At 42.5% G+C, this 17,959-nt stretch overlaps 1 protein-coding gene across 19 annotated transcripts in view; it reads left to right on the forward strand.

Annotated features, from left to right (window-relative positions):
* TNRC6C (trinucleotide repeat containing adaptor 6C) overlaps positions 1-17,959 on the forward strand; it is a 151,279-nt gene that overhangs the window by 56,344 nt on the left and 76,976 nt on the right. For all 19 annotated transcript variants that reach the window (NM_001395512.1, NM_001395509.1, NM_001142640.2 and 16 more), the window contains one exon: positions 17,616-17,942. Coding sequence is in view for 16 of the 19 variants with exons in the window: in NM_001395509.1 (NP_001382438.1) it covers positions 17,616-17,942 (327 nt within the window). In the remaining 3 variants the exon portion in view is untranslated. The remainder of the gene's footprint in view (positions 1-17,615; positions 17,943-17,959) is intronic.

Genomic DNA, 17,959 nt, shown 5'->3' on the forward strand with positions numbered 1-17,959 from the left:
CGAGGCATCAAAGAGGAGTTGTGCTCTTTTGCCTAAGAGAATAAGAAGGCTTTTCCAAATCAGTTTGAAATAAGGCCAATTTCTCTCCTCCTGCACCAGCCTTGTCTTACTAAATGTTGGAGTAGTTTAACTTTGGCTCCCTCTTCTGGCGGGTTGTAGGATTCTGCACTTTTGGAGAGAAAATACCTAAGATTACTGCTATTTCCCAATTTATCAGTCCTGGGAGAACACATTTGAGACATAATTCCACTTAAATCTTCTGTGTTTCATGAGATTTAGGATTTGCCATTTGTTCTGAGAGCTCATTTAGTTCAGGATGATTTAGCATGAAAAGAGATGTGGTCAAGAAGGAGTTAAGGGAACTGACAAGCTCTACACCCAGTGGACTTTCTTTGCCTTTAATGTTTTGTCCAGTGTGTTGCCTCACTTGGAGAGAGTTATGATCAATGTTACATATGAGAAGATTACAGGAGAGCCAGTAGGCATTAATGCTGTCTTGATTACTCAGCTTTAACATATGCTCTTAGCGGCATTTTCTAAATTGATCTTCTAAATAAGCCTGTTGTTTAAAAAGAACTTAGATGTGCTTGCATATATGATACATAGTACATTTTCTTACAGCAGGAATATCCAAGGGCCAAAACAAAGTAACCTTTTAATGAAATGATTCTTACTGTTTGTAGTCATTATTAAAATAATTTTGCTTTCTTTTAACATTCATGTTATCTAGTATGTGATGTATTGAGAGTGGCATTTGGTACCTTTTAGAGAGGTAACTGTAATATGCTAGAGTAGAAAATACCTCTGAACGGCATTTCTCATTAGCAACAGACACTAAGTTAATGTAGTTTGTAGTTAATGAGTCTGTGCTTGTTTTGAGTTGGGCTCCAAATGTTGCCACGGTGATAGATCAGCCAGAAGCATCCACTGAACAAACAGAAGGCACCACTTTGTATCCCTCCAGGACTGCTGATGAGCACAGCAGATGGACCCTCCGTACTCAGAGCTGTCTTCTGCTCGCATCTCATTGTTCTAAGGCAACTTCTCGCCACAATGTTTGCTGCTGTATAGGCTGCAGAAGAAATTGTAATAACAAAAATATTCCTTGGAATCACTGATTATGTTGGCACAAGAGAATAGTTCTCTTACATAGTCACATTTGCAAACAATCTTATATTTGAGTAAATTTAAAATGTTAAGAAACTCTGAATCTTTGAATATTTATTCTGAAATGACTAGAATTACTGCTTGATTTTTGACAATTTTTTTCATTGTGTGGGGTGTCCATGCATAAGAGAAGTTCTATGCTTTATCTTACAAAAGCTTGTTTCTTAAGTTCTGAGATGACATCAGTCATAGGACATATCATCTATTCAATAACGTCCTGTTGACAGAGGTGGAGCATGAATGAGGAAACCTTGTTGTATTTATACATCAATTGTAAGGGGCATCCAAATTTCAGAAAGAAGATGTGTTAAAATGTGTGGGTTAAAAATGTCCCTCCCAGTTAGCATTTTTACCTATAAAAAGTTAGTTTTAAAATATACTGCTCTCATCCATTTCACACCTACTTGTTATTATACTTTAGGCTAATGGTGGCAGCCCACGGGATTCTAATTGAGGATCCTTTTAACAGTAAATGCCATTACTGGGAAACAGTGGTATACCTAGCTCATACCACATACTGTGATGTTGTCTAGGTAGATGGAAGATTTAAATGTACTACTTGGGCCAGGCACAGTGGCTCAGCCTGTAATCCCAGCCACTTTGGGAGGCCGAGGTGGGCGGATCACCTGAGGTCAGGAGTTCCAGACCAGCCTGGCCAAGATGGCAGAACCGCATCTCTACTAAAAGTACAAAAATTAGCTGGGCGTGGTGGTGGGCGCCTGTGATCCCAGCTACTCGGGAGGCCAAGGCAGGAGAATTGCTGGAACCCAGGAAGCGGAGGTTGCAGTAAGCCGAGATCATGCCATTGCACTCCAGCCTGGGCAACAGAGCAAGACTCCATCTCAATAATAAATAAATAAAACTCCTTGCTAAAAAAGTCTATATGCTCTTAACCAGATTTCGGCTGAAGAATATAGAAACTACTCTAGCTGTTATAAGCAGAAATGGGTTTAAAATATGGAGGACTGGGTGCGTATAAAATCACTGAAAGGGCTGAAGGGGGTAAACTCTAGGCTGGGCCTTCAGAAATGACTCCCCAAAGAGTTCCCTGAAGAGCTGCTACCTCCAGGAATAATTGAGAGGCCCTATTGGCTCTCTTGACTTCTAGAGCACAGTGCCACTGCCGCAGACCAGGGGTCAGGAAGCGGCACTAACACTGTCTCTCTCAGCCACAAAAGGAGCGATTGGGAATGTGGCCCCTGCACAGAAACTGCCACCATCTCCAGTACTGTGCTTACAGGCACCCACAGCCAGTACCTGCCAGGTCACATGCACTCACATGTAACTGGGGGAACCAGATCCCTAGCCTCAGCTCTCCTTGCACGGAGGCTGCATAAGCTGTGTGCCAGGCTTGTCAGTCCTGCACCAGGTGTGCCTGTGGTGGTGGGTGGGAGAGACCATTTTAACTACTTGCTTTGTAAACATTTAAAATAATGGGATGGCTGTTCATTAACATTCATCTAGCGCCTAACACTTTCCAAACTGTTGGAGATATGGGAACCAAATTAAGGGGGGTGGTTTAGAACCAGAGTAAGATCTAATCCTCCATTCCTGAGTACAGCTGTCATTACCTCTTCTAAATTGCTGCAGTCTCTGCCTGCCTTCCCTTCTTTAGGTCATTCTCTGTGGTTCCTCCTTTAACATGATTATTTAACTTCTGTGGCTTCCATTGCTTCTGAGAGGAGGAGGATTATTATACTATAAACGCTTACTGTGTACTAAGTGCCAGTCACTGTTCTAAACCATTCTTTACGTAGATTAGCAATCAATCCTCAAGGAACTCTCTCAGTAAGGGATTCTTAGCTCCCTTTTATCCCCCCGCCCTTGCCCACATGTTATGGATGGCATGACTGAAGGATGGAGAAGCTAAGTAATTTATCCAGGATCCCCAGCAAAGAAGTGGCAGAGCTGAAGTTTCAACCCCAAGGCCATACTTGTAGCTACTGCACTCCCTCTCAGGAGAAGTGTATGGAACTGATAAACCCCCAGTTCTGAATGGTGATGATCTTTGCTGGGGGAAGGTGGAGTATACAGTCAGGGAGGGAAAGATAGGTGGGGCTTTGGTGGAATGGGGACATTTTATTTCTTAAGCTGGAGATTGGCTCCATGGAGATTTGTTGATTATTTGGTCTTTATGCCTTTTTAAAAATGTCTTAAATATTTCTAAATAAATTTTTAAAGAAAAGACTGTGTTGGTAGTTATGACTTGGGTGATTGAATAAGATAGAAGCACCTCAGCGTGCTCCCACTCCTGCTCTCCTGCTCTGTTCAGACCAGGGTGAGGAATGTAAGGTGGATCATAGGGAACTTCTTTTCCCATGTTGCATTCCTGCTCAGGTGGCGGAGCTGAACAAGGAGGGCACCGCTGCCTCCTCTCCCAACCACATGGCTCTAGAGTCTGCACAGGGTCTCAGAGACCTCAACAGCTTGAAGTGCTTGTTGAGCTTAGGTAACCCATGACTGCACAGCTGTTCAGCTCACCATGGGTTAACAATTGTAGCAACCTGTCTCTAGAGTTTCTCTCTGAAACTGGAGGCTCCAGGCTTCTCCTAGTGTGGCAGCCAGGCAGGAACACTGAGGAGTATCCATCCATGGAACCACCCAGTGCTCTCCCAGCTATAGGTCAAGTGATACAATCCAAAATCCTTCCAGGGTCTCTGCCTACCTCTCCAGCCTCCTGTGAAACAACCCTGCTAGGCTTCAGCCCCCGAAGGCGAGAAGCTCTTTTCCATTTCAGGGCCTTCCCATGCACTGTCTAGGCTGGTGGGAGTGAGTTTGTAGGTACGAGGTGCGCACACATACACACAGACATACTCTACCTCGCTAACCCTGACATACTTTTTCAGGCTCTGCTTAATTGTCACTTTCTCAAAGGAGCTTTCTGAATCCCTAAATTAGGTTATCTTGTCCCACTGTTCCTTTTATCATGCTTACAACAATGTGTAATTTTCTATTTGTGAAATCATTTTAAAGATAATGTCTCTTCTACTATATGATAAACTATAAAGACAGGAACCATATGTGTGTATATATATGGTTTTTGGTTTTTGGTTTTTGTTTTGTTTTTTTGGTTTTTTTGAGATGGAGTCTTGCTCTGTCGCCAGGCTGGAGTGCAGTGGCGCAGTCTCGGCTCACTGCAACCTCCACCTCCCGGGCTCAAGTGATTCTTCTGCCTTAGCCTCCAGAGTAGCTGGGACTACAGGTGTGCATCACCACGCCCGTCTAACTTTTGTATTTTTTTGAGTGGAGATGGGGTTTCACCATATTGGCCAGGCTGGTCTCGAACTCCTGACCTCGTGATCCGCCCCGCCTCGGCCTCCCAAAGTGCTGGGATTATAGGCGTGAGCCACCATGCCCAGCCGGAACCATGTTTTTTTATATAATACTCAGTATTCACAGTGCCTGGCACAGAATAGGAACCCATTAAATATTTTCTAAATAAGGAGAGGATAGGTGGGGATATTGACATGTTTGGGGGGGTGGAGCAAATGGTAGGCAGATTGCATGGGAAAACAACGAGTTTGAGCCCTTATTTACCGTGCTTTCCTTTTTTTGCAGCACTTTACACCTGGTGAACCATGTATCTTACTTACACATCAAGTTTATTATTGATCCTTTTTCTCTACTAAGATGTGAGCTCCACAGGGCCAGGGATCTCTCTTTTGTTCCTTGATACAGCCCCAGCCTAGAGGAGGCTGAGCTGTAGAAAACCTCTGTATTTATTGAATGAGTGAGTACTGTCTCTATAAACTAGAAATCCAGGCCATAGATTGAGAGAAGCTGGATGGCATCAGGATTCCAGAGTGCAGGAAAAGTTTTAAGCAGTTACAAGAGGGGGGTTTTGGCAGTCCATGTTAGGTTAGTAAGAGGAATTCTTGGTGGCAGCAGGTGCTTATGCTAGTGTTAGTAGGTAACAGAGCTCATTGCTGTTTCTGAGACTACATGTGGCAGTGTCAGGCGGTCTGGAAATGACTGAAGGTTGGGATGATACAGAAGTATGGATAGCAAGCATAGTGAAAGGAAGGAAGGTCGGGGGCCTCGGCTGTTACAGATGACGATATTGAAGTGACTGAGCATGATGAGACTCAAGCCAACTAAAATGGCTAGGAAAGAAGCAGAGAGAATGGGGTTGCAGCCAGGACTTGAAAAGGCTCAGACCCTAGCAAGGGTAGACTGGAGGCTAACGAGGCTGGGTCAGCAAGGCAAGTTCCTTCTGTCTTGGTATCTTAGAGATGACAATGTAGTAGAAAAGTCTGAAAAGGAGCTCTTTCAAAATCAAGTTCTCCAAAGTCTGAAGGGACAGCAGCCTGAACTTTGTGTCCATACTGTAGCCTGTCATTTTAGAAAAAGCAAAATGTGGGAATCTCTCTATTTGGCCCTGTTATGACAACACTACCTGAAAATTTTAGCTGAAAGCAGAAAATCCTTGGAAAGAAAATTGTTTTAAAAGACTGTTGCTTTCTTATATAAAGAGTTACCATCTACCTTTTCACCAGCAGATGTCACCCTCATTTAAAAAACAAAAGGCAAAAGCTTACTAGGCAAAGAGTAACCAAAATTTCCATCTTGCTGAAAGTTTTTTAAAATTATATATGTAGTTATTAAATGGTTGCTATCTTAATATTTCTTAAATAAAACAAATGATTTGTTGAAAAATCATAAAGAAACTAAAGTTCCCATTGCCTTCCTGTATTCTCCTGCTGCATGAAAATGCTGATATGCAAAAGGGTAGGTTCCCATGTGAGTCCTTATCTGTGAGGTATGGCCCTAGAGTCAGGTCTTTTTGAAGAAGGGGAATGTCAAGATTGCTTTGATGCCCTGGTTTTTTAGACAGTAATAGACCCATAAGTGAGGATCTGAAAAGAGTTTATGGCTAGACAAAAAAAGAAAATGCCCATTTAATTTATCTGTGTTACAAGAATAGATCCAGATTTTGAGATCTTCCACTTATCCCTTCAGATTATTAAGTGGCTGCTTGATTCAAAGATCCAAAAATTACTGGCTTAAGTCAGAAGGTTTATCACTGCATAATATAAAAGAGACCCAGAGGTGTACAGCTCAACTGGGTCAGAATTCCGCATTCCTCTGTCTGTTGCTTTGCTGAGTGAGGCTTCTCTTCCCTTTTCTTAGGGTCCAGGATGACCTGTAGACTACCAGCCATAGCATTAGCATTGCAAGCTGGAAATATCACTGTGAGAACAAGTACGTGGGTAAACTGAGTGTGCCATGCTTGCATTATACTCCGGGACCCTTGGTCTTTTTATTAATTGAATACATGCTTTGTGGCATTTTTTTCTGTTTGTAAAATAATGTGCTAGTACTTTAGTGTAGAGTAAATAGTTGTAAGGGAAATTCTCCCACCTGAAAAAGCTTGTGATCTGTCACAACTTGTAGTTTCTCAATCTCTGTTTCACTTTCAGTCTTTATGAAAACAGGTAATTATTTAGCGGTTTCTGAGAAACTAGCTTAAACTTTATCCTTTCCAATAATACAATGCCATTTCTAGACCAGCACCATTCAAAAGAAATAATGGAAGCCACAAATGTGAGCCACATGAATCATTTTAAATAGGCTAGTTGCATCATCTAAAAAGTAACAGGCGGAATTACTTTTAATAATGTTTAACTTGATATATCCAAAATATCGCCATTTCAATGTGAAAGCAACAGAAAAATTGTTAATGAGGTATTTCTCTTTTTTTTGGTGCTAAGTCTTTAGAATCCAGTATATGTTTTAATACTAAGTACATCTCAATTTAGACCTCAAGGCTCAATAGCCACACTTGGCCAGTGGCTGCTGTACTGGGCAGCACATGGTCATCCTTCCCCTCTACACTTGTCTGAGATTTCCAGTCAATTGCACAAGCTTTAAATACTCTGTGTGTCTTCTTTATTTCCCCAGTTCATTGTTGATTCACTTAAGTGAGAAACCTAAGTGCTCCAGTGCCTTCCTACGGCAACCAACACAGTCCTGGACTCAGACCAGGAAATTCTTGTTTGACTTTTGGATGTGTTTAGTAGGAAAGAAAGCTTCCTTCAGGCAGCACTGTCCAGTAGGTAGCTGAAGAAGGAGGCTGGACTTGGAGCTCGAGGGCAACACTGGGACAGTACTCAGGCATCAGTAGCACAGAAATGATGGTCAGAATGGTGAGCATGGACAACCTCTCCAGAGAGTCCAGGGCTGGAGAATGAGTACAAAGACTTGAAGTCCATTAGCAGTGAGAGGGCCAGCAGAGCACAAAGGCGTCTCTGAGGGGCACAGGAGGGGCGTGGGCCACGCATTCAGACAAGCCTGATGTGCTTGTGCTCGTTCACTGGTCCTGTTGTGCTCATAGCTCAAGGCTGTTATAAAGTAAAAGCACCTGCGTTTCTAAGAGAGTGATTTCATTTCTCCATACTTAATATGTTCCTGTTTCTTCTTGATAAATAGCATCATTTTAACTTTTCATTCAGTAATCATAAAAAAGATTATGGAGAGGAGACATGGAATAGGTTATTTATTTTTTTATTTTTATTTTCTTGAGATAGAGTCTCACTCTGTCACCCAGGCTGGAGTGCGATGGCGCAGTCTCGGCTCACTGCAACCTCTGCCTCCCTGGCTCAAGTCATTATTCTGCCTCAGCCTCCCAAGTAGCTGGAATTACAGGGGTATGCCACCATGCCCAGCTAATTTTGGTATTTTTAGTAGAGATGGGGTTTCACCATGTTGGCCAAGCTGGTCTTGAACTCCTGACTTCAGGTGATCTGCCTGCCTCGGCCTCCCAAAGTGCTGGGATTAAAGGTGTGAGCCACCATGCCTGGTCTATTTATTTATAATTTTTTAATTAAAATAAAACAATACCTACATAAGACTTTGGGATATATTACCAGGATTTTTCCTCTGGAAGGTTTCTATGTCTGATAGTCTAATATTACAAGTAGTTGGAACTCTATTAGTATCTGGCTCTTTTCCTGTAGGTCTAGCCTTTGGGCCAAAAAGATGCCCAGAGGCAGTGAGACTCTCACCAAGGTCATTCCCAGAATTTTAGACTTTGCTGGCCATATATGGTCTCTGTCATATATTTGTCTTTGAGTTTTTCCCCCATCCTTTAAAAATGTAAGGGGCATTCTTACTTCACCTGCCAGTCCTGCCCTACTCACATAACAGTTATTCAAGGTGGAAAGGGAAGACTGGTTAGGAATACTTTGACTCTTTAAAAATGAGTCTGTCTTAGATATAAGATTGACTACACATAATGCATCAGGCAGGTAGCACACAGGAAACCATATTCCATATCCAAATGTCTTAGAATTTGGTGGTTTATATTGAAAAATGGACTGATAACATTCATCTATGATTTGCTTACTTCTTCCTTTCTGTAGCATGAACTCCTTTTCCTCTGAAGGTTTTGAAGAAAAACAACCCTGAATTTGTCCTTCAGTCATTTAAGAAAGATTAACAGCAGCATGGTGGAAAAGCATGGTCAGAGATGTGAGTTCTAGTCCCAGTGGTAGCTGGGTCAGTCATCTCAGCCATATCATCTCGGTTGCCTGAGTCTGTGCAGATGAGGGTGGGACTGGATGATTTCTAAGGTTCCTGTCAGCTCAAATTCTTTGCTTCTGAGTCCTTGCCTAATTGTTTCCATCAGGTTTTGAGTTCTGGTGCATTTTCTTCATTTCGAGTCTTTTAAAAGGCAAAATGACAAGTAGAAGTACAAGTGTAGTTGGCACTCCTTATCTGTGGCTTCTGCATCCATGGATTTAACTAACTGTCAATCAAAAATATTTGAAATATAAATGGACAGTTGCATCTGTACTGATGCAGTGCATGTACTGTACATGTGCAGACCTTTTTTTCTTATTATTCCATAAACAATACAGTATAACAGCTATTTATATAGCATGTAAATTACATTAGGTATTATAAGTAATCTAGAGATTATTTAAATATATAGGAGAGCTGGGCATGGTGGTATGCACCTATTGTCCCAGCTATTTGGGAGGCTGAGGTGGGAGGAACACTTAAGCTCAGGAATTCAAGTCCAGCCCACCCTGGGCAACACAGTGAGACTCCGTCTCTAAAAAAAAAATTAAAAATTAACAACATAACGTATGCGGGAGGATATGCGTAGGTTATACGCAAATAATAACCTGTTTTATAACAGGGACTTGAGCATCTGTGGATTTTGGCATCCAAGGGGGTTTCTGGAACCAGTCCCTCTTGGATACTGAAGGATGACTGTACTTTGACTTTTATAGTAGCTAGCCATCCAGTGTCAGTTATTTACAAAAGAGAAACTGGGTTTTTCATCACAAAAATTTCTGTAGCTTGCTAATAGTTCTCTTTTTTTATTCCTTCCTTCTCCTGCTCCTCCTCCTCCTCCTCTTCTGCTGCTACTGCTTTTGAATTTTGTAGTAAAAGAACCAATATTCCTAGCTTCCCAAGAAGCACTTGTTGAGTCTAGAATAAAACTTTTGAGCTGGGCACAGTGGCTCATGCCTGTAATCCCAGCACTTGAGAGGCTGAGGTGGATAGACTGCTTGAGTCCAGGGGTTCAAGACCAGCCTGGGAAACATGTCAAAAACCCATCTCTACTAAAGATACAAAAAATTAGCTGGGCATGGTGATACACATCTGTCGTCCTAGCCACTTGGGAGGCTGAGGTGGGAGGATCACCTGAGCCCGGAAAGCCAAGGCTACAGTGAGCTGTGATCATGCCACTACACTTCAGCTTGGGCAACGGAAGTGAGACCCTGTCTCAAAAAACAAACAAAAAAGCCTGGCCGGGCACTGTGGCTCATGCCTGTAATCCCAGCACTTTGAAAGGCCAGGGTGGGTGGATCACCTATGGTCAGAAGTTCAAGACCAGCCTGGCCGACATGGTGAAACCCCATCTCTACTAAAAATACAAAAATTAGCCAGGCATGGTGGCGGGCACCTGTAATCCCAGCTACTTGGGAGGCTGAGGCAGGAGAATCACTTGAACCCAGGAGGCAGAGATTGTGCCATTGCACTCCAGCCTGAGCATCAAGAGCAAAAAAAACACCGTCTCAAAAAAAAGCAAAAACAAAAAAACCTTTTGAGGCAGATACATTAAAGTGTGTGAAAAAATAATTGTTAGTATGCTAATTGTAATTTTAAAACACATTGAGTGGTTCTAAGTTTACCAGACAAGTGTCTATGTATTGTGCTCTCAGTTTTATTTGGAAAGTTTGCTATTGTGAAAGAGACAGCAAGTTTTCTTCTCTGTTGTGGGTTGTATTTCCATTTTTTATTAATAGGCTGTATTATTTAGAGCAGTTTTTTTTGGTTTTTTTGTTTGTTTGTTTGTTTTTTTGGAGATGGAGTCTCTCTCTGTCTCCCAGGCTGGAGTGCAGTGGCCCGATCTTGGCTCACTGCAAGCTTCGCCTCCCAGGTTCACGCCATTCTCCTGCCTCAGTCCCCCAAGTAGCTGGGACTACAGGTACCTGCCACCACGCCCGGCTAATTTTTTGTATTTTAGTAGAGACGGGGTTTCACCATGTTAGCCAGGATGGTCTCAATCTCCTGACCTTGTGATCTGCCCACTTTGGCCTCCCAAAGTGCTGGGATTACAGGCGTGAGCCACCGCGCCTGGCCTATTTAGAGCAGTTTTAAGTTTACAAAACAATCGAGCTGAAAGTATAAAGTTCCCATGTATTCCCTCTCCTCACCACCACTAGTTTCCCATATTTGTGTGGAACATTTGATACAACTGATGTTCTAGTATTGATACTTTTTTTTTTTTAGGACAGAGTCTTGCTCTGTTGCCCAGGCTGGAGTGCAATGGTGCGATCTCAGCTCACTGCAGCCTCTGCCTCCAGGTTCAAGCAACTCTCCTGCCTCAGCCTCCCGAGTAGCTGGGATTACAGGTGTGCGCCATGACGCCCAGCTAATTTTTGTATTTTTAATAGAGACGGGGTTTCACCATGTTAGCCAGTGTGATCTCAAACTCCTGACAGGTGATCCACCCACCGCAGCCTCCCGAAGTGCTGGGATTACAGGCATGAGTCACCGCGCCCGGCCAATACATTATTATTAACTAAATGCCACAGTTTACATTAGGGTTCACTCTTTGTGTTATATATCTATGGGTTTTGACATGCACAGTATTGTGTATCTGTCATAGCAGTTTCCCTGCCCTAAAAATCCCCTGTGCTCCGCATAGTCATCCCCCACTCCCCTGGCAACCGCTGATCTTTTCACCATCCCTGTAGTTTTGCCTTCTCCAAAATGTCACGTAGTTGGAATCAGACAGTATCTACATACTGTGGATTTTCTACATACTGTACTTTCCTGATTGGCTTCTTTCACTTAACAGTATGCATTTATAGTTCCTCTATGTTTTCATGACTTGATAACTAATTTTTTTAAATCACGTAATGTTCCATTGTCTGAATGCACCAGTTTATCCATTCACGTACTGAAAAACATCTTGGTTGCTTCCAGTTTTTGACAATTATGAATAAAGCTGCTATAAACATTTGTGTGCAGGTTTTTGTATGAACGTAAAGTTTTCAACTCATTTGGGTAAATACCTATTAGCTTTTCTGTTATTATAATTAGCTGAAGGTCATTATCAGGAAAATATATATATATTTATATTTAAGAATCAACTTCAACTTGTAACAAATAGGTTCTGCACCTTTCTTTAAAAGATATAATGGATGTTCATTCTGTATAAAGGTAAAGAACTTTAAAATCTTAAGTAATCACAAAAAAGTATTTCATGTCTATATCAAGGCCAGGGAAATAGGAGCAGAGACAGGCTGGACATAGGGAAGAGGAAATCCGTGGACTCTGGAATGCTAGCCATCACAGAATTAAAACTGCATGTCATGTTCTCTGGGCTTCACTTCAACCATAGGCTTTCAGAATTAGAAGGAGCCTTAGAGTGTCAGCTAGTCTAAACCTTTCATTTCCAGATGAGAAAACTGAGGTCTAGGGATATGAAAATTACTTAATCCAGATCATATATATTATTAGTGGAAGTGAATCCAAGTTTTTGAGGTCTCTAGCCTTAGTATTTTTTTATTTCATCAACTAATTTTTTTACATGATGTTGCTGTCTCTGCATTTTTTAAACTTTATATGTTTGAGAAAAACAATCACTCCTTCAACATTTATTTAGCACTCACTGTTGTCAAACACTATGCTGCCATAATTTACAGCCTAGAGAAGAAGACAGTCATTTTAAAAAATAACATACACAATGCTGAGTGCTGTGCCAAATACCGGGTACTGTGGATGTTCAGTCAGAAGCACCTAGACTGGCTTAGGTGAGGAGGTGACATTTAGTCTGATATTTAAAGAATAGCTGGGAATTACCATGTTTTTTGACTCTGACATTATCAATTGCATTATGCACTATTTTATGTACCACTAAGAAAAAAATTGCCAGTTAAACTGATATATTCATTGTCAGTTATAATATGCATCCCAGTTTCAGAAATGTTGAAATATTTGGAAATGTGCCCTAGAATTGATGAAATGTGGTGGTTAGATGAAGAAGCAAGCAGCTCACAGGGGAGTTTAGCACTTGCTGAACCTCAAAGCTAAGTCTGGGGAACTGGGAGTCTTACTGCTCAGGACCACGTGGACCTTGCAGAGAGTTTGGATTTTATTCTGAGAGCGTTACAAGACCTCAGAGTTTTAAACCAGGGAGGAGATCTGCATTTCAGAAGGATCACACTGGCTGCAGTATAGATGATGGATTAGAGAGAGTCTCTTACAGTACTCCAGCTAAGAGATGAGGGTGCCCAGGTTCCAATGGTGACCGTTGGAATGAAAATAGATGGGTGAAATTGAGGGATATTTGAGGGTGGAGGGCATGTAGGAGCTATTAATAGAAATGACAAGGTTTGGTGATTGATTAGATGTAGGAGAGATTGAAATACTCAGAAGGGCGAGGCGAGAAAGCTGATGAGTATATGGGACATGTTGATTTTGAAGTGTATCAAGTATAAAAGAGTGGACAACAAAGCCATAAAAGAACAGGAAACCTGCCAAGGGGGATGGGAAATAGTGGCATAGAGAAGAAGGCAGGAGTGGCCGTCGCTGATAAAGACAACCTGAGGGGTCTTTTGGTCCAAAGACTGAGGGGTCAAAAGATAACAGGGCCTTGGATTTTAGCAGCAAGAAAGAAATTATGGCCTTGGCTAGTCAGTTTCCATGAAGGTTTGGCAGGAGGAGAGGAGAGAGTGGGAGGAGCTGGAGGAGAATGTGGAGTCCAGGAGAGGTGATTGTTGCCATTTGTGAAGAGATTAAATATTTGAACATGTTCAAGTGATGATGAGAAGGAGCTAATTACAGTAGCCAGACAGTCCCTGGGCCCGTTAGAGGTTGGAAATGCAATGTCTTTCACTCTGCACACAAACACCGCAACCCTCTTCTTTTTTATATTCAGTTCCATCATATGGAAACTCTGGCTAGAAAAAAAACAGAGAAATACTTGTAAAGCAAGGAATTGATCCAAGACCCAATCTTATGTTTTGGGCCTTCATATCTACTTTGGAGAGAGTTGTGAGTTGAAGACCCAGGACACGCAAAGTCCCTAAGATAGGATCCAGAGGTTTGGAGGGTGCCCCCTTGCATTGCCTCTCTGACCCCATTGATTGTGAGACATATCGGTATTGCACATACCATTAAGAAAGGAAAATATGCTGCCTGTGCACTGACATGGCATCATAAGACACATCCCAATGTAAGTGATGGTAACCTGTGAAGGGATGTGCGTCTTTGAGTTGATGGAATACAGTATTAGCCTTAGATAGGAATAACAGATGTGGGACAAAGAACAGGGTGACACTCATATATCTGTAGTGACAGAAACTTGGAGGTTTTTTTTTTTTTTTTTTGAGATGGAGTCTCGCCCAGGCTGGAGTGCAGTGGTGCGATCTCCGCTCATTGCAAGCTCCACCTCCCGGGTTCACGCCATTCTCCTGCCTCAGCCTCCCGAGTAGCTGGGACTGCAGGCGCCCGCCACCATGCCCGGCTAATTTTTTTTTGTATTTTTAGTAGAGACAGGGTTTCACCGTGTTAGTCAGGATGGTCTCGATCTGACCTTGTGATCTGCCCGCCTCGGCCTCCCAAAGTGCTGGGATTACAGGCGTGAGCCATCGCCCCCCGCTGAAACTTGGAGTTTTTACTTGATGGCTTTTATTTCTTCTGCAGAGTAGTCAAGTTCATTTTCTGGGGATGGGGAGAAGTGGGAACAAGGAGGTAGAGGGATTAGGAGCTCAGGAGTGGAAGATCTCTAAATGAATTGTTGACACCACTGGAACAAGGCAGACCCAGGAAGTTGCAGGATTGACAGGAAGCAGTGAGGGCGTTCTGAGGCCAGGACCATGCATTCGTAGCAGTACCAAACTGCATGTCACATGATTTTCTTGAGAGATACTTAGCAACCTGAGTCAGGAAGTAGGGAGAGTAGACAGTGGGTTCATCCAGGACTAAGGACTTGCCAGGCACTAGTGACAGATAGACAGTGAGGCAAAGACCTGGAGGATACTGGTAGTGTGGACAATGTAGCGTTCACATGGTAGATGGCCAAGTCCATGTTGAGAGACAAAAACTGCAGGTAGACTGGAGCTGACAATGTAAAGGGAAACAGTACCGTATCATGAACCACCCCCCAATGTTGACTTAAAATATTTTTTAATGTTTCTTCTACATAAAAGGTATGTACAGAACTAGGCATAAACTCATTTTGTACATAGCTGTTTCTCAGCTATCAAACCAGTGATGTTTACAAATTGAGTAGAAAACCAAAAATGTTTTCAAATAACAAAATAGATGTAATGTCCTGGATAATGATGTTTTGTGTACAAGATGAGGTGGGACTGACTATTGAGGCGCCGACTCTTGCACTTTACATGTCGGCGTGCAGAATTACTACTCGAATCACTGTTTGCATTCGGCATGCTAATTAGTAAACCCTATTATTAGGTTATCACCCAACTCTTCTGCTCCTTTTTTAAAATTTAAATTACTATGAGATCTTTGTTTATGCAACTTACTCTAATATGATTTTAGACCTTCACTTAATGCAAATTCATTATTCGCACAGTAGGCCCAACTGCATTCTTTCCCAGTAAATCTGGCAGAGTGTGGCAGTGCTACAGACGCCAAACCACAGTTGCTGACACTAAAATTCAGTAGTACGATCATACCTTGCTTGACAGAGAGATACGTTCTGAAAAATGCACCGTTAGGCTGTTTTGTCATTGTGCAAACCCAGATGGTACAGGTTGCTACTCACCTATGCCATGTGATAGAACCTTTTGCTCCTAGGCTGCAAGCCTCTACAGCATGTTACTATACTGAATACTGTAGGCAGTTGCAACACAATGGTAAGTATTTATGTTATCTAAACATAGGAAAGGGACAAGAAAAATACGCTATAAAGAATTTTTAAAAGGTACACCTGTATAGGGCACTTAACTATGAATGGAGCTTGCAGGACTGGAAGTTGCTCTGAGGAGTCAGTGAGTGGTGAGTGAATGTGAAGGCCTAGGACATGACTATACACTTAGGCCACACTAAACTTACTTAAAAAAATTTTTTTTCAGTAATAAAGCTTTTTAATTTTTTTAAGAGTTTTCACTCTTTCATAATAACACTTAGCTTAAAAGACACATTGCACAGCTGTACAAAAAATATTTTTCTTTCTTTATATCCTTATTCTGTAAGCTCTTTTCTGTGTTTAATTTTTTTTTTAACTTTTAAACTTATTAAAAACCTAGACACACACACACACACACACACACACACATAAGCCAAGGCCTACACGAGGTCAGGATCATCAGTATCACTATCTTCCACCTCCACATCTTGTCCCACTGGAAGATAACATGCATGGAGGTTTCATCTCCTGTGATAACAATGACTTCTGGATATCTCCTGAAGGACCTGCCTTAGGCTGTTTTACAGTTAACTGTTGTTTTTGGCTTTTTTTTATGTAGAAGCAATACACTCTAAAATAATGATAAAAAGCATAGTAAATACATAAACCAGTAATATAGTTATTATGAACCATTATGTACTACTGTACATAATTACTACTGTACATAATGTATGTGCTAGACTTTTTTTTTTGTTTTTGGAGACGGAGTCTCGCTCTGTCACCCAGCCTGGAGTGCAGTGGCACAGTCTCGGCTCACTGCAACCTCCACCTCCCGGGTTCAAGCAATTCTCCTGCCTCAGCCTCCTGAATAGCTGGGATTACCCGTACCTGCCACCACACCTGGCTTGTGTGTGTGCGTGTGTGTGTGTGTGTGTAGTAGAGACAGGGTTTCACCATTTTGGCCAGGCTGGTCTCGAACTCTTGACCTCAGGTGATCCGCCCACCGTGGCCTCCCTAGACTTTTTATGTGACTGGCAGGATGGTAGGTTTGTTACCACCAGCATCACCACAAACACGTGAGTAATGTGTTGTGACATTGCAACGGCTGTGTCACCAGACGATAGGAATTTTTCAATTCCATTATAATCTTACGGAACCACTGTCATATATGAGTCAGTTGTTGACTCAAACGTCATTATTTAGCTTTAATTATTCAGATAACCCAGAATGCACCAATATATGTTTTATACATTATCATCAGAATTAAAACAAAAATACATATAAATTCATGGACACCTAAAGATTCCTTCGTTTTATAAATATTGAACAAGAGCAGTGGTTCTCATAGAGAGGTGCTGGAACCAGCAGCATCAACATTGTCCCAGTAATTGTTAGAAATGCAAATTCCGGCCGGGCATGGTGGCTCACACCCGTAATCCCAGCACTTTAGGAGGCTGAGGCGAGCGGATCACTTGAGGTCAGGAGTTCGAGACCAGCCTGGCCAACATGGTGAAACCCCATCTCTACTAAAAATATAAAAAGTATCTGGGCTTGGTGGCCTGCGCCTGTAATCCCAGCTACTCTGGAGGCTGAGGCAGGAAGATCACTTGAATCCGGGAGGTGGAGGTTGCAGTGAGCTAAGATGGTGCCATACTGCCCTCCAGCCTGGGTGACAGAGTGAGACACTGTCTCACACTTAAAAAAAAAAAGAAAGAAAGAAATGCATATTCCCAGTTTCTCCTTGCTTTTTGACACTGAATCAGAAAGTCTGGAGGTTGGCACCAGGTGTCTGGGCTCTGATAAGCCCTCTAGGTGATTGTGATGCAAACCAAGGGTGAGAACTGCTGCTCCAGTCTTAATGTATCACCTTGATTTTACAGATGAGGAATCCAAGGCCCAGGAATAGCTGGCTCAGACTCTCAAGATTAGTTTGTGTGTAGCAAAACTAGGTCTCAAACTTGGAACTCTAGACTTTAGTCCAGTTCTGTTTCCAAAGCACTACATTGTCATTTTTTCTCAGTTTTTGGTTATGGTTTCCTTGGTTTGGGTTGGGTTTTAAAGGGGTCTAGCTAAAGTTTTGGGTTCTTTTGCCTTTCATTCATTTTAGTGCCAGAACCTACTAAGACCTGTTCAAGCCAGCCCCAACCTGCCGGTACCAGTACCAGTACTTCCACCAGCACTATCTCAAGCAGCAACAATGGCAAACGTGCATCTGCCAGTGGCCAGCAGCCAGCTGCATCCCGTTACCTGCCTCGTGAGGTGCCTCCACGCTTCCGCCAGCAAGAACAGAAGCAGCTATTAAAGAGAGGCCAGCCATTGCCTACGGGGACTCTAACCAGTGTGAGCCCAACCCAGGGTGCTGGGCCTGCAGGGGTAAGCCCACCTCCCCTACCTGGAGCCGGAACACAGCATCATCCCAGTAAGCTCCAACCAGGTAAAAACCACATAGGA

The sequence above is a fragment of the Homo sapiens genome, chromosome 17 (assembly GCF_000001405.40).
Source record: "Homo sapiens chromosome 17, GRCh38.p14 Primary Assembly".
NCBI classification, from domain to species: Eukaryota; Metazoa; Chordata; class Mammalia; order Primates; family Hominidae; genus Homo; species Homo sapiens.